The 17,317-nt window shown below is 44.7% G+C and overlaps 1 protein-coding gene, 1 long non-coding RNA gene and 2 pseudogenes across 3 annotated transcripts in view, besides 2 other annotated features; 3 read left to right on the top strand and 1 right to left on the bottom strand.

Annotated features, from left to right (window-relative positions):
* The window catches only part of OR2C1 (olfactory receptor family 2 subfamily C member 1), a 35,207-nt gene extending 29,300 nt beyond the window's left edge, over nucleotides 1-5,907 (top strand). The window contains exon 2 of one of the 2 annotated variants that reach the window (XM_047434179.1): nucleotides 3,668-5,907. In XM_047434179.1, the coding sequence (XP_047290135.1) occupies nucleotides 3,711-4,649 (939 nt within the window). In that variant the 5' untranslated portion in view covers nucleotides 3,668-3,710 and the 3' untranslated portion in view covers nucleotides 4,650-5,907. Of the gene's footprint in view, nucleotides 1-3,658 lie in introns of those variants that run through there. The other variant, NM_012368.3, reaches the window with a different exon arrangement.
* Nucleotides 12,058-13,257: an enhancer, noted in NCBI's record as "BRD4-independent group 4 enhancer chr16:3414288-3415487 (GRCh37/hg19 assembly coordinates)". NCBI's record gives its function as "activates an origin of replication core promoter dependent on BRD2, P300/CBP, MED14 and CDK7 cofactors, and independent of BRD4, by STARR-seq in HCT116 cells {active_cell/tissue: HCT116}" and the evidence as "EXISTENCE:reporter gene assay evidence [ECO:0000049][PMID:35650434]".
* The window catches only part of LOC105371059 (uncharacterized), a 34,555-nt gene continuing 30,122 nt past the window's right edge, over nucleotides 12,885-17,317 (top strand). The window contains exon 1 of the long non-coding RNA XR_007064949.1: nucleotides 12,885-12,952. This is a non-coding gene — a long non-coding RNA (uncharacterized LOC105371059). The remainder of the gene's footprint in view (nucleotides 12,953-17,317) is intronic.
* Nucleotides 12,952-13,021: an enhancer, noted in NCBI's record as "active region_10320". NCBI's record gives its function as "activates an Ori minimal core promoter by ATAC-STARR-seq in GM12878 lymphoblastoid cells {active_cell/tissue: GM12878}" and the evidence as "EXISTENCE:reporter gene assay evidence [ECO:0000049][PMID:35858748]".
* MTCO2P28 (MT-CO2 pseudogene 28) lies at nucleotides 15,235-15,353 on the top strand (annotated as a pseudogene).
* Nucleotides 15,489-17,016, bottom strand: MTCO1P28 (MT-CO1 pseudogene 28; annotated as a pseudogene).

Below are 17,317 nucleotides of genomic sequence, written 5' to 3' on the forward strand. Positions count from 1 at the left end.
CTCAGCCTCCCGAGTAGCTGGGACTACAGGCGCCCACCACCACGCCCGCCTAATTTTTGTATTTTTAGTAGAGACGGGGTTTCACTTTGTTCGCCAGGATGGTCTTGGTTTCCTGACCTCGTGATCCACCCGCCTCGGCCTCCCAAAGTGTTGGGATTACAGGCGCGAGCCACCATGCCTGGCCAAATTTTAATGTTTTTAAACTTATGATGTTTTAATGTTTTTAAATTTTAATGTTTTTAAACTTATGAGTTTGAATGTTTTTAAACTTACTGATGTCTCTTAGAAGTAATAATTTACATAAATTTACTATTAACTATGTATTTTTTTCTTTCATTCATCCTTAATTGACTTTTTCTAAGATTCAAACTCCCCCATTTCTAGTTCTTGAATTCTAAGATTTGGGGAGGGGAAAAATCCCTGTTCACTTTGTCTAATACCAGCCCCCCACAGACCAAACAACTTTGGAAGAAGATGAGCAGTGTCTTTCTGTCTGTTTCTTTCTTTCTTTTTTTTTTTTTTTTTTCTGAGGTAGAGTTTCACTCTTGTTGCCCAGGCTGGAGTGCAATGGCATTATCTCAGCTCACTGCAAACTCCGCCTCCTGGGTTCAAGTGATTCTCCTGCCTCAGCCTCCTGAGTAGCTGGGATTACAGACATGTAGCACCACGCCCGGATAATTTTTTTTTATTTTTAGTAGAGACATGTTTCACCATGTTGGCCAGGATGGTCTCGAACTCCCGACCTCAAGTGATCTGCCTGCCTCGGCCTCCCAAAGTGTTGAGATTACAGGCGTCAGCCACTGCGCCCGGCCCTGTCTATTTCTTTGCCCTAAAGGGACACAAGGGAACAAGCACCTGAACTGGCAGGAGGTAGTAGAATGGGTTTCAGGAAGAACTTCTGAAAAGAAAGATGAGCTGATTATCCGGTTAGTAACTCAGTTCCTCAGCTCTCTTAAGTCCTAGATGAAAAGAATAAGTAGGCCGGTCGCGGTGGCTCACGCCTGTAATCCCAGCACTTTGGGAGGCTGAGGCGGGCAGATCACGAGGTCAAGAGATCGAAACCATCCTGGCCAACATGGTCAAAACCCCATCTCTACTAAAAACACAAAAATGAGCTGGGGATGGTGGTGTGCACCTGTAGTCCCAGCTACTTGAGAGGCTGAGGCAGGAGAATTGCTTGAACTCAGGAGGTGGAGGTTGCAGTGAGCCGAGATCCCGCCACTGCACTCCAGCCTGGTGACAGAGCGAGACTCCGTCTCAAAAAAAAAAAAAAAAAAAAGAATAAGTAGGCCGGGAATGGTAGCTCATGCTTGTAATCCCAACACTTTGGGAGGCCAAGGTAGGCAGATAACCTGAGGCCAGGAGTTCAAGACCAGCCTGGCCAACATGGTGAAACCCCGCCTCTACTAAAAATACAAAAATTAGTCAGGCGTGGTGGTGCACTCCTGTAATCCCAGCTACTTGGTTGGCTGAGGCAGGAGAATCGCTTGAACCTGGGAGGCAGAGGTTGCAGTGAGCTGAGATCACGCCACTGCACTCCAGCCTGGGTGACACTGCTAGACTCCATCTCAAAAAAAGAGAAAGAAGGAAGGAAGGAAGGAAGGAAGGGGAAGGGCTGTGGTTTATGATCTTCAGAAAAGTTGAGATCCTGGCCAAGGAAAGGGGATGGTGATTGGCCCATTATTAACAAGAGCTGATTTTTTTGTTCATGAGATGGGTTTTTTGTTTGTTTGTTTGTTTTTCTTTTCTTTTCTTTTTTTTTTTTTTTTTTGAGACAGAGTCTAGCTCTGTTGCCCAGGCTGAAGTGTAGTAGTGCAATCTCAACTCACTGCAACTTCCGCCTCCCTGTTTCAAGTGTTTCTGCTGCCTCAGCCTCCTGAGTAGCTGGGGCTGCAGGCGCCCGCCACCATGCCCGACAAATTTTTTGTATTATTAGTAGAGACGGGGTTTCACCATGTTGGCCAGGCTGATCTCAAACTCTTGGCCTCAAGTGATCTGCCCACTTTGACCTCCCAAAGTGTTGGGATTACAGGCGTGAGCCACTGTACCCGGTCTCATGAGATGTTAAGAATTATTTGATGATTTAGACGTGGACACAGTAGTTATATACCTCAAAAGAGGGATCTCCTCTGTAAATCTTCTAATTTCCCTTACTAATTATGAATACCCATTAACTATTTTAACCCCTTTTTGTGTAACCTCTGTTTATATCTTTTGCCTTTTCCACCTAAACTTATTTAAGCTTAAGTGAAGTTTTGTTTGCTCTACATTGACCTCCTCTTAAATTGTACATTCCCAGCTTCTGTATTTGGAGCATAAGTCTGTATCTACTCTTTCCATTATTTCTGTGACTTTATAGATTCATCATGTTATTCCTCAAACATCATCTTTCTAGATCCAGCACTGAGGTAAAACTCAGAGGGGAGGGATGTAGAAGAGAGCAGAGGAAATTTAACAGAAAATTCTGGGGAGCTTTTCCAAATACAATGTGTCTGCTTCCCCCCTTCCCTGAGCGTATCAGAATCTTGGCTGGGGAAATGTGTTGTTGCTGTTGTTTTCAAGAGATAGGGTCTCCCTCTGTCACTCAGGCATTGGAGTACAGGGGCTCACTGCTGCCTTGAACACTGGGGCTCAAGAGATCCTCCCACCTCAGCCTCTTAAAATGCTGGGATTACAGGTGTGAGCCACCATGCCTGACTGAAATTTCAGTCTGACTGAAAGTTTTTGAGAACTTTCACATCTAATTCTAATGGTCAACTCTCTCTATCCCGTCATAGCCATTGTTCTGAACTGAAGGGCTCTTCAGTTCTTGGGGTCTTTTGGTTTTGTCATCATGAGGCACTTCCTTCATTTCCGTGTTAGCTCATACCTGACATTCTGATGGAATCAACTTTTCCATTCGGTGTGTAACCAACAGTAGATGGGGATTACAACAGAAGTTTGAAATCTAGGCCACGCACGGTGGCTCACACCTGTAATCCCAGCTTTTTGAGAGGCTGAGGCTGGCATATCACGAGGTCAGGAGTTCGAGACCAGCCTGGCCAACATGGTGAAACCCCGTCTCTACTAAAACAAAAATTAGCCAGGCATGGTGGTGCATGCCTGTAGTCCCAGCTACTCGTGAGGCTGAGGCAGGAGAATTGCTTGCACCTGGGAGGCGGAAGTTGCAATGAGCCGAGATTGCACCACTGCACTCCAGCCTGGGTGACAGAGCGAGACTCTGTCTCAAAAAAAAAAAAAAAGCTTGCAATCTTAAAAAGTAAGTTGGAGTCCAGGTGCAGTGGTTCATGCCTGTAATCCCAGCACTTTGGGAGGCTGAGGCAGATGGATCACTTGAGCCCAAGAGTTGGAGACAACCCTGGGCAACATGGCAAAACCCCATCTCTACAAAAAATACAAAAGTTATTTGGATGTGGTGGCACACACCTGTGGTCACAGTTACTTGGGAGGCTGAGACAAGAGGATTGCTTGAGCCAGGGAGAAGGAGGTTGCAGTGAGCTGAGATTGTGCCACTGCACTCCAACCTGGGTGACAGTGAGAGACTCTGTCTCAAAAAACAAACAAAAAATAGGTTGTTACTTAACTATGGATCCCAGAGAACTATTAGACCGTTCCTGATGCAAATCCACCTCATCCAACAGCTTTTTCTTGACTTTTCTTCCAGCAGCTTGCGCTAAATGAATTCATCAAGTGACTGAAGACAACCAGTGATGGACGGGGTGAATGATAGCTCCTTGCAGGGCTTTGTTCTGATGGGCATATCAGACCATCCCCAGCTGGAGATGATCTTTTTTATAGCCATCCTCTTCTCCTATTTGCTGACCCTACTTGGGAACTCAACCATCATCTTGCTTTCCCGCCTGGAGGCCCGGCTCCATACACCCATGTACTTCTTCCTCAGCAACCTCTCCTCCTTGGACCTTGCTTTCGCTACTAGTTCAGTCCCCCAAATGCTGATCAATTTATGGGGACCAGGCAAGACCATCAGCTATGGTGGCTGCATAACCCAGCTCTATGTCTTCCTTTGGCTGGGGGCCACCGAGTGCATCCTGCTGGTGGTGATGGCATTTGACCGCTACGTGGCAGTGTGCCGGCCCCTCCGCTACACCGCCATCATGAACCCCCAGCTCTGCTGGCTGCTGGCTGTGATTGCCTGCCTGGGTGGCTTGGGCAACTCTGTGATCCAGTCAACATTCACTCTGCAGCTCCCATTGTGTGGGCACCGGAGGGTGGAGGGATTCCTCTGCGAGGTGCCTGCCATGATCAAACTGGCCTGTGGCGACACAAGTCTCAACCAGGCTGTGCTCAATGGTGTCTGCACCTTCTTCACTGCAGTCCCACTAAGCATCATCGTGATCTCCTACTGCCTCATTGCTCAGGCAGTGCTGAAAATCCGCTCTGCAGAGGGGAGGCGAAAGGCGTTCAATACGTGCCTCTCCCATCTGCTGGTGGTGTTCCTCTTCTATGGCTCAGCCAGCTATGGGTATCTGCTTCCGGCCAAGAACAGCAAACAGGACCAGGGCAAGTTCATTTCCCTGTTCTACTCGTTGGTCACACCCATGGTGAATCCCCTCATCTACACGCTGCGGAACATGGAAGTGAAGGGCGCACTGAGGAGGTTGCTGGGGAAAGGAAGAGAAGTTGGCTGAGAGAACACTCCTTCGTTATTTATTGCGTCTTCATCTCTACATGCGTTTCTCATTAACTCTCTCTGGCCAGGTGAACATGAGGAATACTAATTCCGGTAAAACCAAGGCATGTTCCTGACAGCCCTAAGCTGACAGCCCTAAGCTGTTGGGAACATGGTTAGTGTTATTCGTAATGTTCTACACTTATTTACCAAAAATCCTACTGTGGACTACCGATAGCAGGGGAGACATGTTGTTGAGGGCTCAGAGGTTATTGACCTGTGACAGACCTGTCTCACTGTCTCTGTCTCTGTTGCCCACATGTTATTTAATATGCCTTATATTTCTGCAGAATTCTGTACTTTTCTAAGCAAAGCACCTCCACTTGCAGTATCTTACATAATGTTACTATAATTCCATAAAATCAAGCCATGTATTATTAACTTCATATGAAGACCCAAACAATTCATGTTTTTACCCTATCTGTCATTATCTTTGCCTACCTCTTTTTGTCTCTTCTTCATTTTTTTTAAGAGTTGGAGTCTTGCTCTGTTGCCCAGGCTGAAGTAGAGTGGCATGATCTTAGCTCACTGCAGCCTTCAACTCCTGGGCTCAAGCAATCCTTCAGTCTTCTGAGTAGCTGGGACTATAGGCACATGCTACCACACCTAACTAATTTTTATTTTTATTTTTTACAGATGGGGTCTCACTCTGTTAACAGCCCAGGCTGGTCTAGAATTCTTGGCCTCAAGTAATCTTCCTGCCTTGACTTCCCCAAGTGCTGGGATTATGGGTGTGATCTACCGCACCTGGCCTGTCTCTTCTTAATAATGCAGTATACCACTGGGTGCAGTGGCTCACACCTGTAATCCCAGCACTTTGGGAGGCCGAGGCGGGTGGATCACCTGAGGTCAGGAGTTCGGGACCAGCCTGACCAACATGGAGAAACACTGTCTCCACTAAAAATACAAAATTAGCCTTGCATCGTGGCACATGCCTGTAATCCCAGCTACTCGGGAGGCTGAGGCAGGAGAATCGCTTGAACTCGGGAGGCAGAGGTTGTGGTGAGCTGAGATCGTGCCATTGCACTCCAGCCTGGGTAACGAGCAAAACTCCGTCTCAATAATAATAATAATAACAATAATAATAATGTAGTATATCTGTCCATACTTTCCATCCATATATCTCTCCATCATCTTGTTTACCCTCTCCCTTATGCCTATATTCCAATTTCTCTTCTACTAATCTATTATTTAATAATAAAAGATTAAGCCAGGCACGGTGGCTCACGCCTGTAATCCCAGCACTTTGGGAGGCCGAGGTGGGTGGATCACGAGGTCAGCAGTTCGAGACCAGCCTGACCAACACGGTGAAACCCCGTCTCTACTAAAAATATGAAAAAAATTAGTTGGGCATGGTGGTGGGTGCCTGTAACCCCAGCGACTTGGGAGGCTGAGGCAGGAGAATCATTTGAAGCTGGAGGGTGGAGGTTGCCGTGAGACGAGATTGCACTACTGCACTCTAGCCTGGGCAATAAGAGCGAAACTCCATCTCAAAAAAAAAAAAAAAAAAAAAAAAAAAAGAAAGAAAAGATTAAAAAGGTCATTTGCAGCTGGGCACAGTGGCTCATGCCTGTAATCTCAGCACTTTGGGAGGCTGAGGTGGGTGGGTCACCTGAGGTCAGGAGTTTGAGCCAGCCTGGCCAACATAGTGAAACCCCATTTCTACCAAAAATACAAAAATTAGCCAGGTGTGGTGGTGCACACCTATAGTCCAGCTACTTGGGAGGCTGAGGCAGGAGACTTGCTTGAACCCGGGAGGTGGAGGTTGCAGTGAACTAAGGTTGCAGTGAGCTGAGATTGCACAACTGCACTTCAGCCTGGGTGACAAGAGCAAGACTCTGTCTCCAAAAATAAAACAAAACAAAACAAAAAGGTCATTTGCCTTTTGATTCTAGCCAAAGAGGGTCCCTTGCTACTCTCTTATTGAAATCATCCCATCCAAAAGTCCCAGACATCAGATGTCTTACCAGCATTTGGGTATGCTAGTCTGGTCAGTGGATAATGGAATGTCCTAAGATTCCTTATGCAAATTTAAGACCCCAGGAAAGATCATCCATCCATAAAGTATGTTCTCTGCCTCAAGATCTAGTCTTGAAGCCCTGCAGTTCCTAAAATTCAGCAATCAGTTCAGCACACAATTAATTACTCATCTTTCAGGAACTCACATGTTGGGATCAGAATGCCAATTTGTGATTCTGCACATTCCTAGAATTGCCAAAGGGATCCCCACCTGTTACCACGATTCATTTACTATTTTCCCAGACAGAGAAGCTAGGTTAATATAAGAAAGTTGCATGACAACTACATTACCATAGAAAAGGGAATCAATAGGTTTTAGAACTAGTTCAAAAGGGGCTTTGGCTTTGTGTCCCCATAATTTTGAAACACATGCCTTATACATAGTAGATACTCAATAAGTGTTTAGCAAATATAATTAATAAGCTTCATGAGTCCTCCTTTATCTTGCTAAGAACTAAATTTGTCAAATGGACCGTCTTCATGTTTGCCACTTTGGGGTCATCCCATCCCTTGGACAGCATTGAACAAACAATGATAAATGTTCCCTTTTCCACATTACCATAATTCCTTCCAAAGACATCTAATCATACTGTCCTGTCATGAGTTTGTTTTTCCAATAGCAGATCAAAGCCATTTTGCCAGTTCCTCATACAGCAATACTCAAATACGTCTCCAGAAGTAGACAACTGTTAACATTATCTTGGCGAATTTATTAAAGTCCAGAGTCTTGCAGGCTCAACACTGGTTTTGTTTTGTTTTGTTTTGTTTTGTTTGAGACAGAGCCTTGCTCGGTTGCCCAGGCTGGAGTGCAGTGGCGATCTCAGCTCACTGCAACCTCTGTCTCCTGGGTTCAAGCAATTCTTGTGCCTCAGCCTCCTGAGTATCTGGGATTACAGGTGTATGCCACCATGCCAGGCCAATTTTTTTTTTTTTTTTTGGTGGAGACAGGGTTTCACCATGTTGGCTAGCTGGTCTCAAACCCCTGGTCTCAAGCGATTCACCCTCCTCAGCCTCCCAAAATGCTGGGATTACAGGTGTGAGTCATTGCACATGGCCAGGCTCAACATTTTCATTGATCAGTACACTCAGATTAGGTCAAGTTCTCAAGAAGTAGGTTCACAATGACCAAGTTCCTAAAGCTGTTATATAAACCAAAATGCCAGCTGATTACGTTATGAGAACAGTACCAAGAGACTGAACAGTTGCATCCTCCAGTCAATTCATTTAAGTTGTGAAATAACTTGGGAGGAAATAGGAAGAAAATGGACAGGTATTCCTGAGACATATGAGTGCTGTAGAGCCTCCATATGGAAAAAATTGGACATTTTGTAACTAACACAGAGTTCTGGGTGTGGTAAGACACAGGGAATTAGAGGAAGAAGAACAAGCTGACTGGCTATGGTGAGGAAATGAATACATCACAGGGATCGCATATAACTTCGTCAACACACATACGCTTATGTTCCATTCTCAATGGTGTTCATGAAACAAGGTCAAAATTTGGGAGGAAAAGAAGCAAATATAAAGCAAGCTCCTTGTTATTGAGGGTTTGGAGTCCTATTTCTAGGTGTCCAGGAAAAAAATATGTTTGGTGTCTTGTTCAGTTGGAAATTCAGGAAATGACAGACAAAACCACCACCAAGGGCCGGGCACAATGGCTTACGCCTGTAATCCCAGCACTTTGGGAGAATGAGGTAGGCAGATCACTTGAGGTCAGGAGTTCAAGACCAGCCTGGCCAACATGAGACTCTGTCTAAAAAACAAACAAACAAACAAACAACAACAAAACACTAAAACCACCAAGACCTATGAAAGACTCACCAACCTTAGTAAAATAGAAATGAAAAGCATTTGAATATGCTCATCTGCTCACTGGATTTAAGTGAGTTTGAGAGCCCATCGCATAGAGCCCTTCTCAGAGTCTGTCTGGATCCCATACCTTTCCGTTTAAGGTATCAAAGGCTGCCTGAATACCTCAAATGAGCAAATTCTGAAGCTGCCAATGAAGACAGTCAATCCTTTTCCATTCTTCTCAGCCTTCAGGCTCAAGTCCAGGAAAGATTAGGAAAGATTAGAATCAAGGAACCGGGAAGAAATAGAAGTTGAAAAGTGACTTTGGCTTGCTGCATATACACTTTAGTATGTGAGCTCTGAATTAGAGACTATGGTAGGACGCAGTGGCTCACACACCCGTAATCCCAGCACTTTGGGAGCCCGAGGAGGGAGGATCGCTTGAACCCAGGAGTTTAACACCAGCCTGGGCAACATACTGAGATCCCGTCTCTACTAGAAATTTAAAAATTAGCTGAGTGTAGTGGTGCTTGCCTATATCCCCAGCTACTCAGGATGGTGAGGCAGGAGGAACGTTTGAGCCCAGGAGTTCAAGACTACAGCGAACCGTGATTCCATCACAACACTCCAGCCTGGGAGACACAGTGAGGTTCTGTCTCAAATAGATACATAATTAAATAATAGACTAATTTGGAAGCTCTATTAATGACTTTGCAAAAAGGTCTAGTGTATTTGACCAACGGTGGCTAAGTGTACTGAGTATTCACCATTTGCTAGATGAGGATCTAAACTCTACACACTTCCACTCATTCAATCCTCACAATCCATGGGCCACCTGCTATTATGCTTGTCCTCTTTTTTTTTTTTTTTTTTTTGAGACAGAGTCTCGCTCTGCCGCCCAGGCTAGAGTGCAGTGGCGTGATCTCGGCTTACTGCATATGCTAGTCCTCATTTTAAGATGAGGACACTGCAGCATAAAAGGAAACTTGCCCAAGATCATGCTTTGGTAGGGTAGGGAATCAAAGCATAATCGTCTTGACTCTAAAGCTGTGCGTACTCTTTTTTGTAAAAACAATCGCAAACTTACAGAAAAGTTGGAAGCATGAAACAAAGACTTCCCCTGACCTCCAATTATTTGAGAGTAAGTTAGCAACCTGACACCCTGTCTTCCCCAAATATCTTGTGGTGTGTTTTCAACAAACAAGGACATTATCCTACAGAGCCACAATATAACCATCAAAATTAGAAAAATGGGCCAGGTACAGTGGTTCACACTTGTAACCCTAGCACTTTGGGAGGCCGAGGTGGGCAGATCACCTGAGGTCAGGGGTTCAAGACAAGCCTGGCCAACATAGTGAAACCCCATCTCTACTAAAAATACAAAAAGTAGCTGGGCATGGTGGGACATGCCTATAATCCCAGCTACCCGGGAGGCTGAGGCAAGAGAATTGCTTGAACCCAGGAGGTAGAGGCTGCGGTGAGCCAAGATCATGCCACTGCACTCCAGCCTGGGCAACAGAGTGAGACTCCATCTCAAAAAAAAATTTTTTTTAATGAACATTAATACATTTCATTATCTAATCTGCAGACCCCGTTCAATGTTTGCCAACTGTCCCAACGATGCCTTTCATAGCGAAAGAATTTTCTTCACAATCACACATTGCATTTAGTTGTCATGTCTCTAGTCTTTGTCAGTCTGAGATGGTTCTTCAGTTTTTTTCTTGACTTTCATGATTGCCACACTATAAAAGATTGTTAGCCAGTTATCTGGTAGACAATGTCTCCATTTGGGTTTGAAGTTTCTTCACATATAGACTCAGGTTAGCATCTTTGGCAGGAATATCACAGATGGGAGGTTGCATTCTTCTCATTGTGTCCTATCAGGGGGTGTATATTTCAGTTGTTTTCATTTCTAATGGTGTTACGTGGATCACTAAATGAAGATTGTGTTGACCAGCTTTCCCATTGTTTCCCTCTTTGTAATTAATAAGTGTCTTATGGGGAAGTACTTTGAAACTATGTAAATATCCTGCTACTAATTAAACTCAATTTGTTCATTTATTTGGTTCTATCTTATGCAATTAAGGTTTTCTGTTTTATTTAATGGTTTATAATAAGGGTATCCAACCCACAGGCCACAGAGAGAAAGAGAAATACATATGTGTGTATATATATGTATATACTTATATCTGACATGCAAAGCAGTGCTCTGCCCTTGCTTTTTCCCACACTCAGGCTCTGCTTTCTCTTTCTCTCTCTCTTTTCTGTCCATTTAGTCATCTACTACCCTGCCCTCTGAATAGAAAGGCAGCAAGGTGCCTCAGAAAGTTCAACACTCTGGGAGTCAAGAACTTGAGTATTTGGGTGCACTCTGCAACTAATTAGTTAGGGTAGTCAGTGGCTCTTTATAGCACTCTGTCTCATCATCTGTAAAATGACTATAACAGGTGGCAGGAACATTGTAGGAATCAAAATAGATAATCCACATAAGAAATGCATGTGTTTAAAAAACTCCTCCATGGTTATTCTTAATCAAAGATGGCATACTTTTCTTAGAAGTGTCATCAACCTATTTCACATCCCACTCCCTGTATTTATATCCTGATGAGGTACTACTCCTTTGTGCTACCAGGGCCTTCATAAATGATGGATGAATGAAGGGGGGCAAGACTGAAGGCAGAAAGACTACATAGAAGCCTTAGTATGATCCTCCACTCTTCTTTCTCTCACACTCCACATCTCAATCTAGTAGCTCCCTCTTCAAAATATACCCAGAATACCCAATCCGGAATCACACACACGTGAAAATTAGAAAAGTATTTGTATGTCCACCAAAAGAGGAATGGTCGATTATATATATTGTGGTGGGGGGAGGTGGGGAGCAGCATGGAAAAACATTTTAAAAAGAATATGCATGGTGGTACATGCCTAAATGCAGCTTTAAAAAATTATATATATATATAAACGAAAAGAAAAAAACAAAAATTATATATATAAATGGAAAAAACCGACAAGAATTAGTAAATGTAAAAAAAATTATATATTAAGAACCAGAAAGATATACACACTAGTAATGTTACTAGTGGAGGGTGTCCAGGTTCTTGGCGTTTGGAACGAAGAACTGGACAAAACACACAAACAAGGCAAGGAAAAAAATGAAGCAACAAAAGCACAGATTTATTGAAAACAAAAGTACACTCCACAAGGTGGCAGCCCGCAGAGCATAGGGGCTCAACAGGCATGTGCCAGAATTTTTCTGGGGTTTAAACACCCTCTACAGGTTTCCTATTGGTCACTTGGTGTACACCCTATGTAAATGAAGTAGTGGCCCGTAATCGGCCCTAGGTTCCCTTAGGTTGCTTTGTGCAACCAGAGGCTGAAGTGAAGTTACAAAGGTTACACGCTATGCAAGCATCTGATACTTTCAAATTTTTGTCTGCCACGCAGAAGAGGTGATGGAGTTTGTAAAGGGAGTAGCCTCCAGTCCTTTCAGTGGGTCCTTTCCTTACTTAGGTGGGGAAAGGGAAAGTTGGGGTTTTCCTTTTGATTTAGTTCTAGGAAGTCAGCGTGAATCAGTTAGGTTTCCTGCCTCCAGACCCTATTCCTCTGCCTCAGTAACAGTTATTTTCTCTAGGGAGGGAGTGTAATTTCAGAGGCAAAGTATGAATATATTTTGTTAATCATTTGTATTTATTTATTATTTATTTATTTTGAGACAATCTCGCTCAGCCGCCCAGGCTGGAGTGCAGTGGCAATTACCTCTCACTGCAGCATCGAACTCCTGGACTCAAGTGATCCTCCCGCCTCGGCCTCCCAAAATGCTGGGATTACTGGCGTGGAGACTTCAGTTTTAAGTGAGAACGTTTTGCAGTACTTACTTAATATTAAGAAATAAAAACAACTTAGAGTGGGGGGAAAAAAAGCCACTGGATTAGATACGAGTTCTAGTCAACGAAAGTCACTTAAACTCTGTTTTGGCTTCCTCGTCTGGAAGATGAAAATGGTAATATAACTGACTGAGTAGGGTTGCTGTAAGTATGAGTTAGTGTGTAAATGTTTACAATTACGCAGGGCACACAGCAAGCGCCACGTTTTCTATCAGGGCTACTCTCACCTAACGCGTAAAACAGGATGGCATGCCCAGCGGGATCCGGGCCCTGGGTTCTCAGGCATTGTGATTGGTCTCAGCATATGACGCAAGGCGGGCTTCATTAATGAAATTGCTGTCAATTAGCGAAGGGCGGAAACCAGGCGAAGAGGGCGGTCCTTTAGAACCACACTCGCGCGACTGGCTCCTCTCTTTACAGGCTTAGCTACTGCGCATGCCTCTGGCCCTCTTGAGGTCCCGGCGTGCCCCGCAACAGCTTCCGGCGTGCTCCGCAACAGCTTCCGGCGTGACGCAGTAGAAAAGGTGGCGTGGCTGGCGATTCGTGTTCGTGAGGGCCTTTTCTGGTGAGGCGGGGCTTAAGGGTTGTGGCTCTGCTCTCTGTCCTGAGACTTTCAGATTGCACTCTGGGTTCCTGGACGCAAAAACTCGGAGTGGCTGCGTGATGCAGAGTGAACTGGGTCCTCTGGGGACGCGTGGGGAACGTGGCAGTCCGGAGTGCCGGCTTTGTTGCCCTTCGGAGCTCCAGTCCGTTCAGGTTCCCCAGTGAGGCCTCCTTTGAAGGGCTGGGTGCCTTTTGCCCTTCACGCTAAGAAAACACTCGTTTCCTAAAGCTCGATTGCGCCCTTGTGCTGAGCGGTGGGGACACGAAGACAGCACAGAAACGCTGTTTACTTTCAGCGAGCCCCCAGACTGTTGGAGTGGATAAACCCACCAGAAACAAATTACAGCGTTAGGCGGGTTAAGATGGAGCACCCTGAGAGGTTACAGACAGGACCGGAGAGTTCAGAGGATTAGGATGCTTCAAGAAGATGGGGGTAGTGGCGTCATCAATCCTCATCCTGGGGTTTTTGTCTTTGATGGTGCACTCCTTGAGGACATGAAATTTTTCTTCCACATTTCCGATACCTAGGCTCAGGTGCCCTTCCATGGTTGGGAGGGATAGAGACCAGCTGTCTCTCGTGTTTATTATCTATGGAAAGGATGAATTAGGTCTTGGGGACTTCAGGAGGGAAAATTTTGGTGAGCAAAGGCACTAATATGTCCCTAGACCAGGGGTTCTCAACCAGCGCCCCCCTGCCAGAGCACAATTGACACTGTCTGGAGACAGTTTTGTTGTCACTACCGAGGGGTGCTACTGACGTCTAGTGGGTGGAGGCCAGGGATGCAGCTAAACATTCTACAAGGTCCACGGGGTTCCCACCCCACTCCCCATCCCCAAGAACTCAAAAAACGATCTGGCTCAAAATGTCAGTGTGCTGAGGTTCTGAAACCCTACCCTGGAATGACAGCGGAAATGGAGAGACAGCAGATGTTGGAGACATCTCAGCGGAAGACTAGTTTTGTCTCTTTTTTTCTTTTTTTGTTTTTTTGAGACCGTGTCTCGCTCTGTTGCCGAGGCTGGAGTGCAGTGGCGCAATCTCGGCTTCACTGCAAGCTCCGCCTCCCGGGTTCCCGTTATTCTCCCGCCTCAGCCTCCGGAGTAGCTGGGACTACAGGCGCCTGCCATCATACCCGACTAATTTTTTGTTTTTGTATTTTTAGTAGAGACAGGGCTTCACCATGTTAGCCAGGATGGTCTCGATCTCCTGACCTCGTGATTGGCCCGCCTCAGCCTCCCAAAGTGCTGAGATTACAGGCGTGGGCCACCTCGCCCGGCCTCATTTTGTGTTCTTTATAATGCTTAAGTATTTGATGCGCAGTTGGTTAATCAGGTCTGATGAGCCCAGTCTTCCTCTTATTTTTTTCACCCATTCATTTGCCAGATATCTGTTTAGCACTAAACACTATTCAAGATGCTAGAATTCAGCTTTGAGCTGAAAAACCTCACATTCTTGCGGGGGGTGACAGACGTTAAACTTACATGTCAAGTAGTAATATATGCTATGAAGTTCCTGCAAGTTGGGGTTTCTCTTACTACCATCAGGTACCATTTATTTACTTCCGAGTGCCAAGCACTGGACTAGATACTTTACTAATATTTCTACTCTTTTCCTGTGTCCTGCAAAGTGGGTATTATTTATTTATTATTTATTTTTTTTGAGAGGGAGTCTCGCTCTGTCCCCCAGGCTGAACTGCAGTGGCGCAATCTCGGCTCACTGCAACCTCGACTTCCTGGGTCCAAACGATTTTTCTGCCTCATTCTCCCGAGTAGCTGTGTTTACAGGCACCCGCCACCACGCCCTGGTAATCTTTTTTGTATTTTTAGTAAAGACGGGAGTTTCACCATGTTGGCCAGGCTGGTCTCGAACTCCTGACCTCAAATGATCCAGCCGCCTCGGCCTCCCAAAGTACTGGGATTACAGGTGTGAGCCACCGCGCCCAGCCCTGCAAGGTGGCTGTTATTATCTTCAGATGATAAAAAGCAGATCACAGGAGTTGAATAATTTGCCCCAAATCACTTAGTATGGAGTTGAGCTTGGACTCAAACCAGATTCACCTGAAGGATAAAGTCTGTATTATTTCCACTGGTTAACATTGTGTCCCATATACGCAGCTGGACTGAATGGCATGAGAAATCTATACCTTCTTTCCTAGGGTTAAGAAAGTGAAGTAGAAACGAACTGACACTGACCTCATTCTGTTTCCAGAGTAGAGTTTTTATCAGACCTAGCAGGAGGTGATTCTAAAGAGTTGCAGCAACTGAATTAGGAAAATAATTATAAGAGTGTGGTCATGGAAAGTGAGTAGTTCTTCTATAATAGGGGATGTAGCGTCTTGAAGGCCTAACTGAACTGGGTGAGCCATTAAGACATACAGGGTTTATCCTATATCTTAACTTTGACAAAGTTATGTAATGATTTTACTAATATCGAGAAAGTCATACAGGTTATGGGATTGGCTTGAAATCAGTTTCTGGAGGTTCAATTCCTTTTTCGTTTAGGTTTTCACATAGATTGGCTCTTCGAATGTGTGGTAAGGTGGTGGACAGCTGTAAAGTCACTGTTAATTAGTAGATGCTTGTTCAATTGTTAGAACTTTTCGTTTTGAAGCAAAGGCTTCTCAGATTATGAAAATTATTAATATGACTGCTGTTAATGAGATAAATGAGCCTACTGATGAGATAACATTTCATGTGGTGTATGTATCAGGTTAATCAGAGTAACGTCGACGCACACCAACAGGCCGAGGAAGTGCTGTGGGGAAAAGGTTAAATTAACACCTATAAATATAATGATGAAGTGGATTTTAGCATACGTCTGATTAAGTATATAACCTGAAAATAGGGGGAATCAGTGGACAAAGCCTCCTGTGATGGCAAATACCGCTCCTATTGATAGAACATAGTGGAAATGGGCCACACCATAATATATGTCTTGTAAAATAATGTCTAATGATGAATTAGCTAGTATAATGCCAGTTAAACCTCCTACTGTTAATGGGAAAATGAATCCTAGGTGCTCAGAATATTGTGGGAGATCATTTGATACTACTGCCGTGCAGTGTAGCTAATCAGCTAAAGACCTTGACTCCAGTAGGGATAGCAATAATTATAGTGGCGGAGGTGAAGTATGCTCGTGTGTCTACATCCATTCCTACTGTAAATGTATGGTGAGCCCGTATGATAAATCCTAAGAAGCCAGTTGATATTATGGCTCATACTATGCCCATATACTCAAATGGTTCCTTTTTTCCAGAGTAATAGGTTACGATATGGGAGATTATCCCAAAGCCTGGTAGGATAAGGTTATAGACTTCAGGATGACCAAAGAATCAGAATAAATGTTGATACAAAATAGGGTTACCCCTGCCAGCAGGGTCAAAAAAAGTAGTATTGAGGTTACGGTCAGTTAATAATATGGCAATGCCAGCGGCTAGGACTGGGAGAGAAAGGAGGAGAAGGACTGCCAGAATGAGGACTGATCAGATGAAAAGGGGTGGTTGATATTGGGATAAGGCTGGGGGTTTTATGTTAATAACTGTAATAAAGTTAATGGCCGCTAAAATAGAAGAAACACCTGCCAAGTGGAGTGAGAAGATGGTTAGATCCACAGAGGCTCCTGCTAGGTTTCCTGCTAAAGGGGGATAAACTGTCCAGCCGGTTCCAGCGCTGGCTTCTACTACTGAAGATGCAAGTAGGAGTAGAAAAGATGGGGGGAGAAGTCAGAAGCTCATATTATTTATCCGGGGGAATGCCGTATCAGGTGCACCAATCATCAGAGGGACTAGCCAGTTGCCAACACCCCCAAATATGATTGGTATTACCATAAAGACAAATTATGACGAATGTGTGGGCGGTAACAGTAACATCGTAAATCTGATCATCTCCTAGCAGAGTTCCTGGTTGGCCTAATTCTGCTTGAATTAGAAGGCTTAAGGTGGTGCCCGCTATTCCCTCTGATGCGCCGAATACTAAATATAGTATTCTGATGTCTTTGTGGTTAGTTGAAAACAATCAACGATTAATGAACTTAAGTGGGAAAAGGGTAAAATGGCTGAGTAAGCATTAGACTGTAAATCTTTTTTTGTTTGTTTATTTGAGACGGAGTCTTGCTCTGTCCTCAGGCTGGAGTGCAGTGGCTCGATTTCAGCTCACTGCAACCTCCGCCTCCTGGGTTCAAGCGATTCTCCTGTCTCACCCTCCTGAGTAGCTGGGACTATAGGCATTCGCCACCACGTCCAGCTAATTTTTTTATTTTTGGTAGAGACGGGCTTTCACCACGTTGGCCAGGATGGTCTCAATCTCTTGACCTTGTGATCCACGCGCCTTG

The sequence above is a fragment of the Homo sapiens genome, chromosome 16 (assembly GCF_000001405.40).
Source record: "Homo sapiens chromosome 16, GRCh38.p14 Primary Assembly".
NCBI lineage: Eukaryota > Metazoa > Chordata > Mammalia > Primates > Hominidae > Homo > Homo sapiens.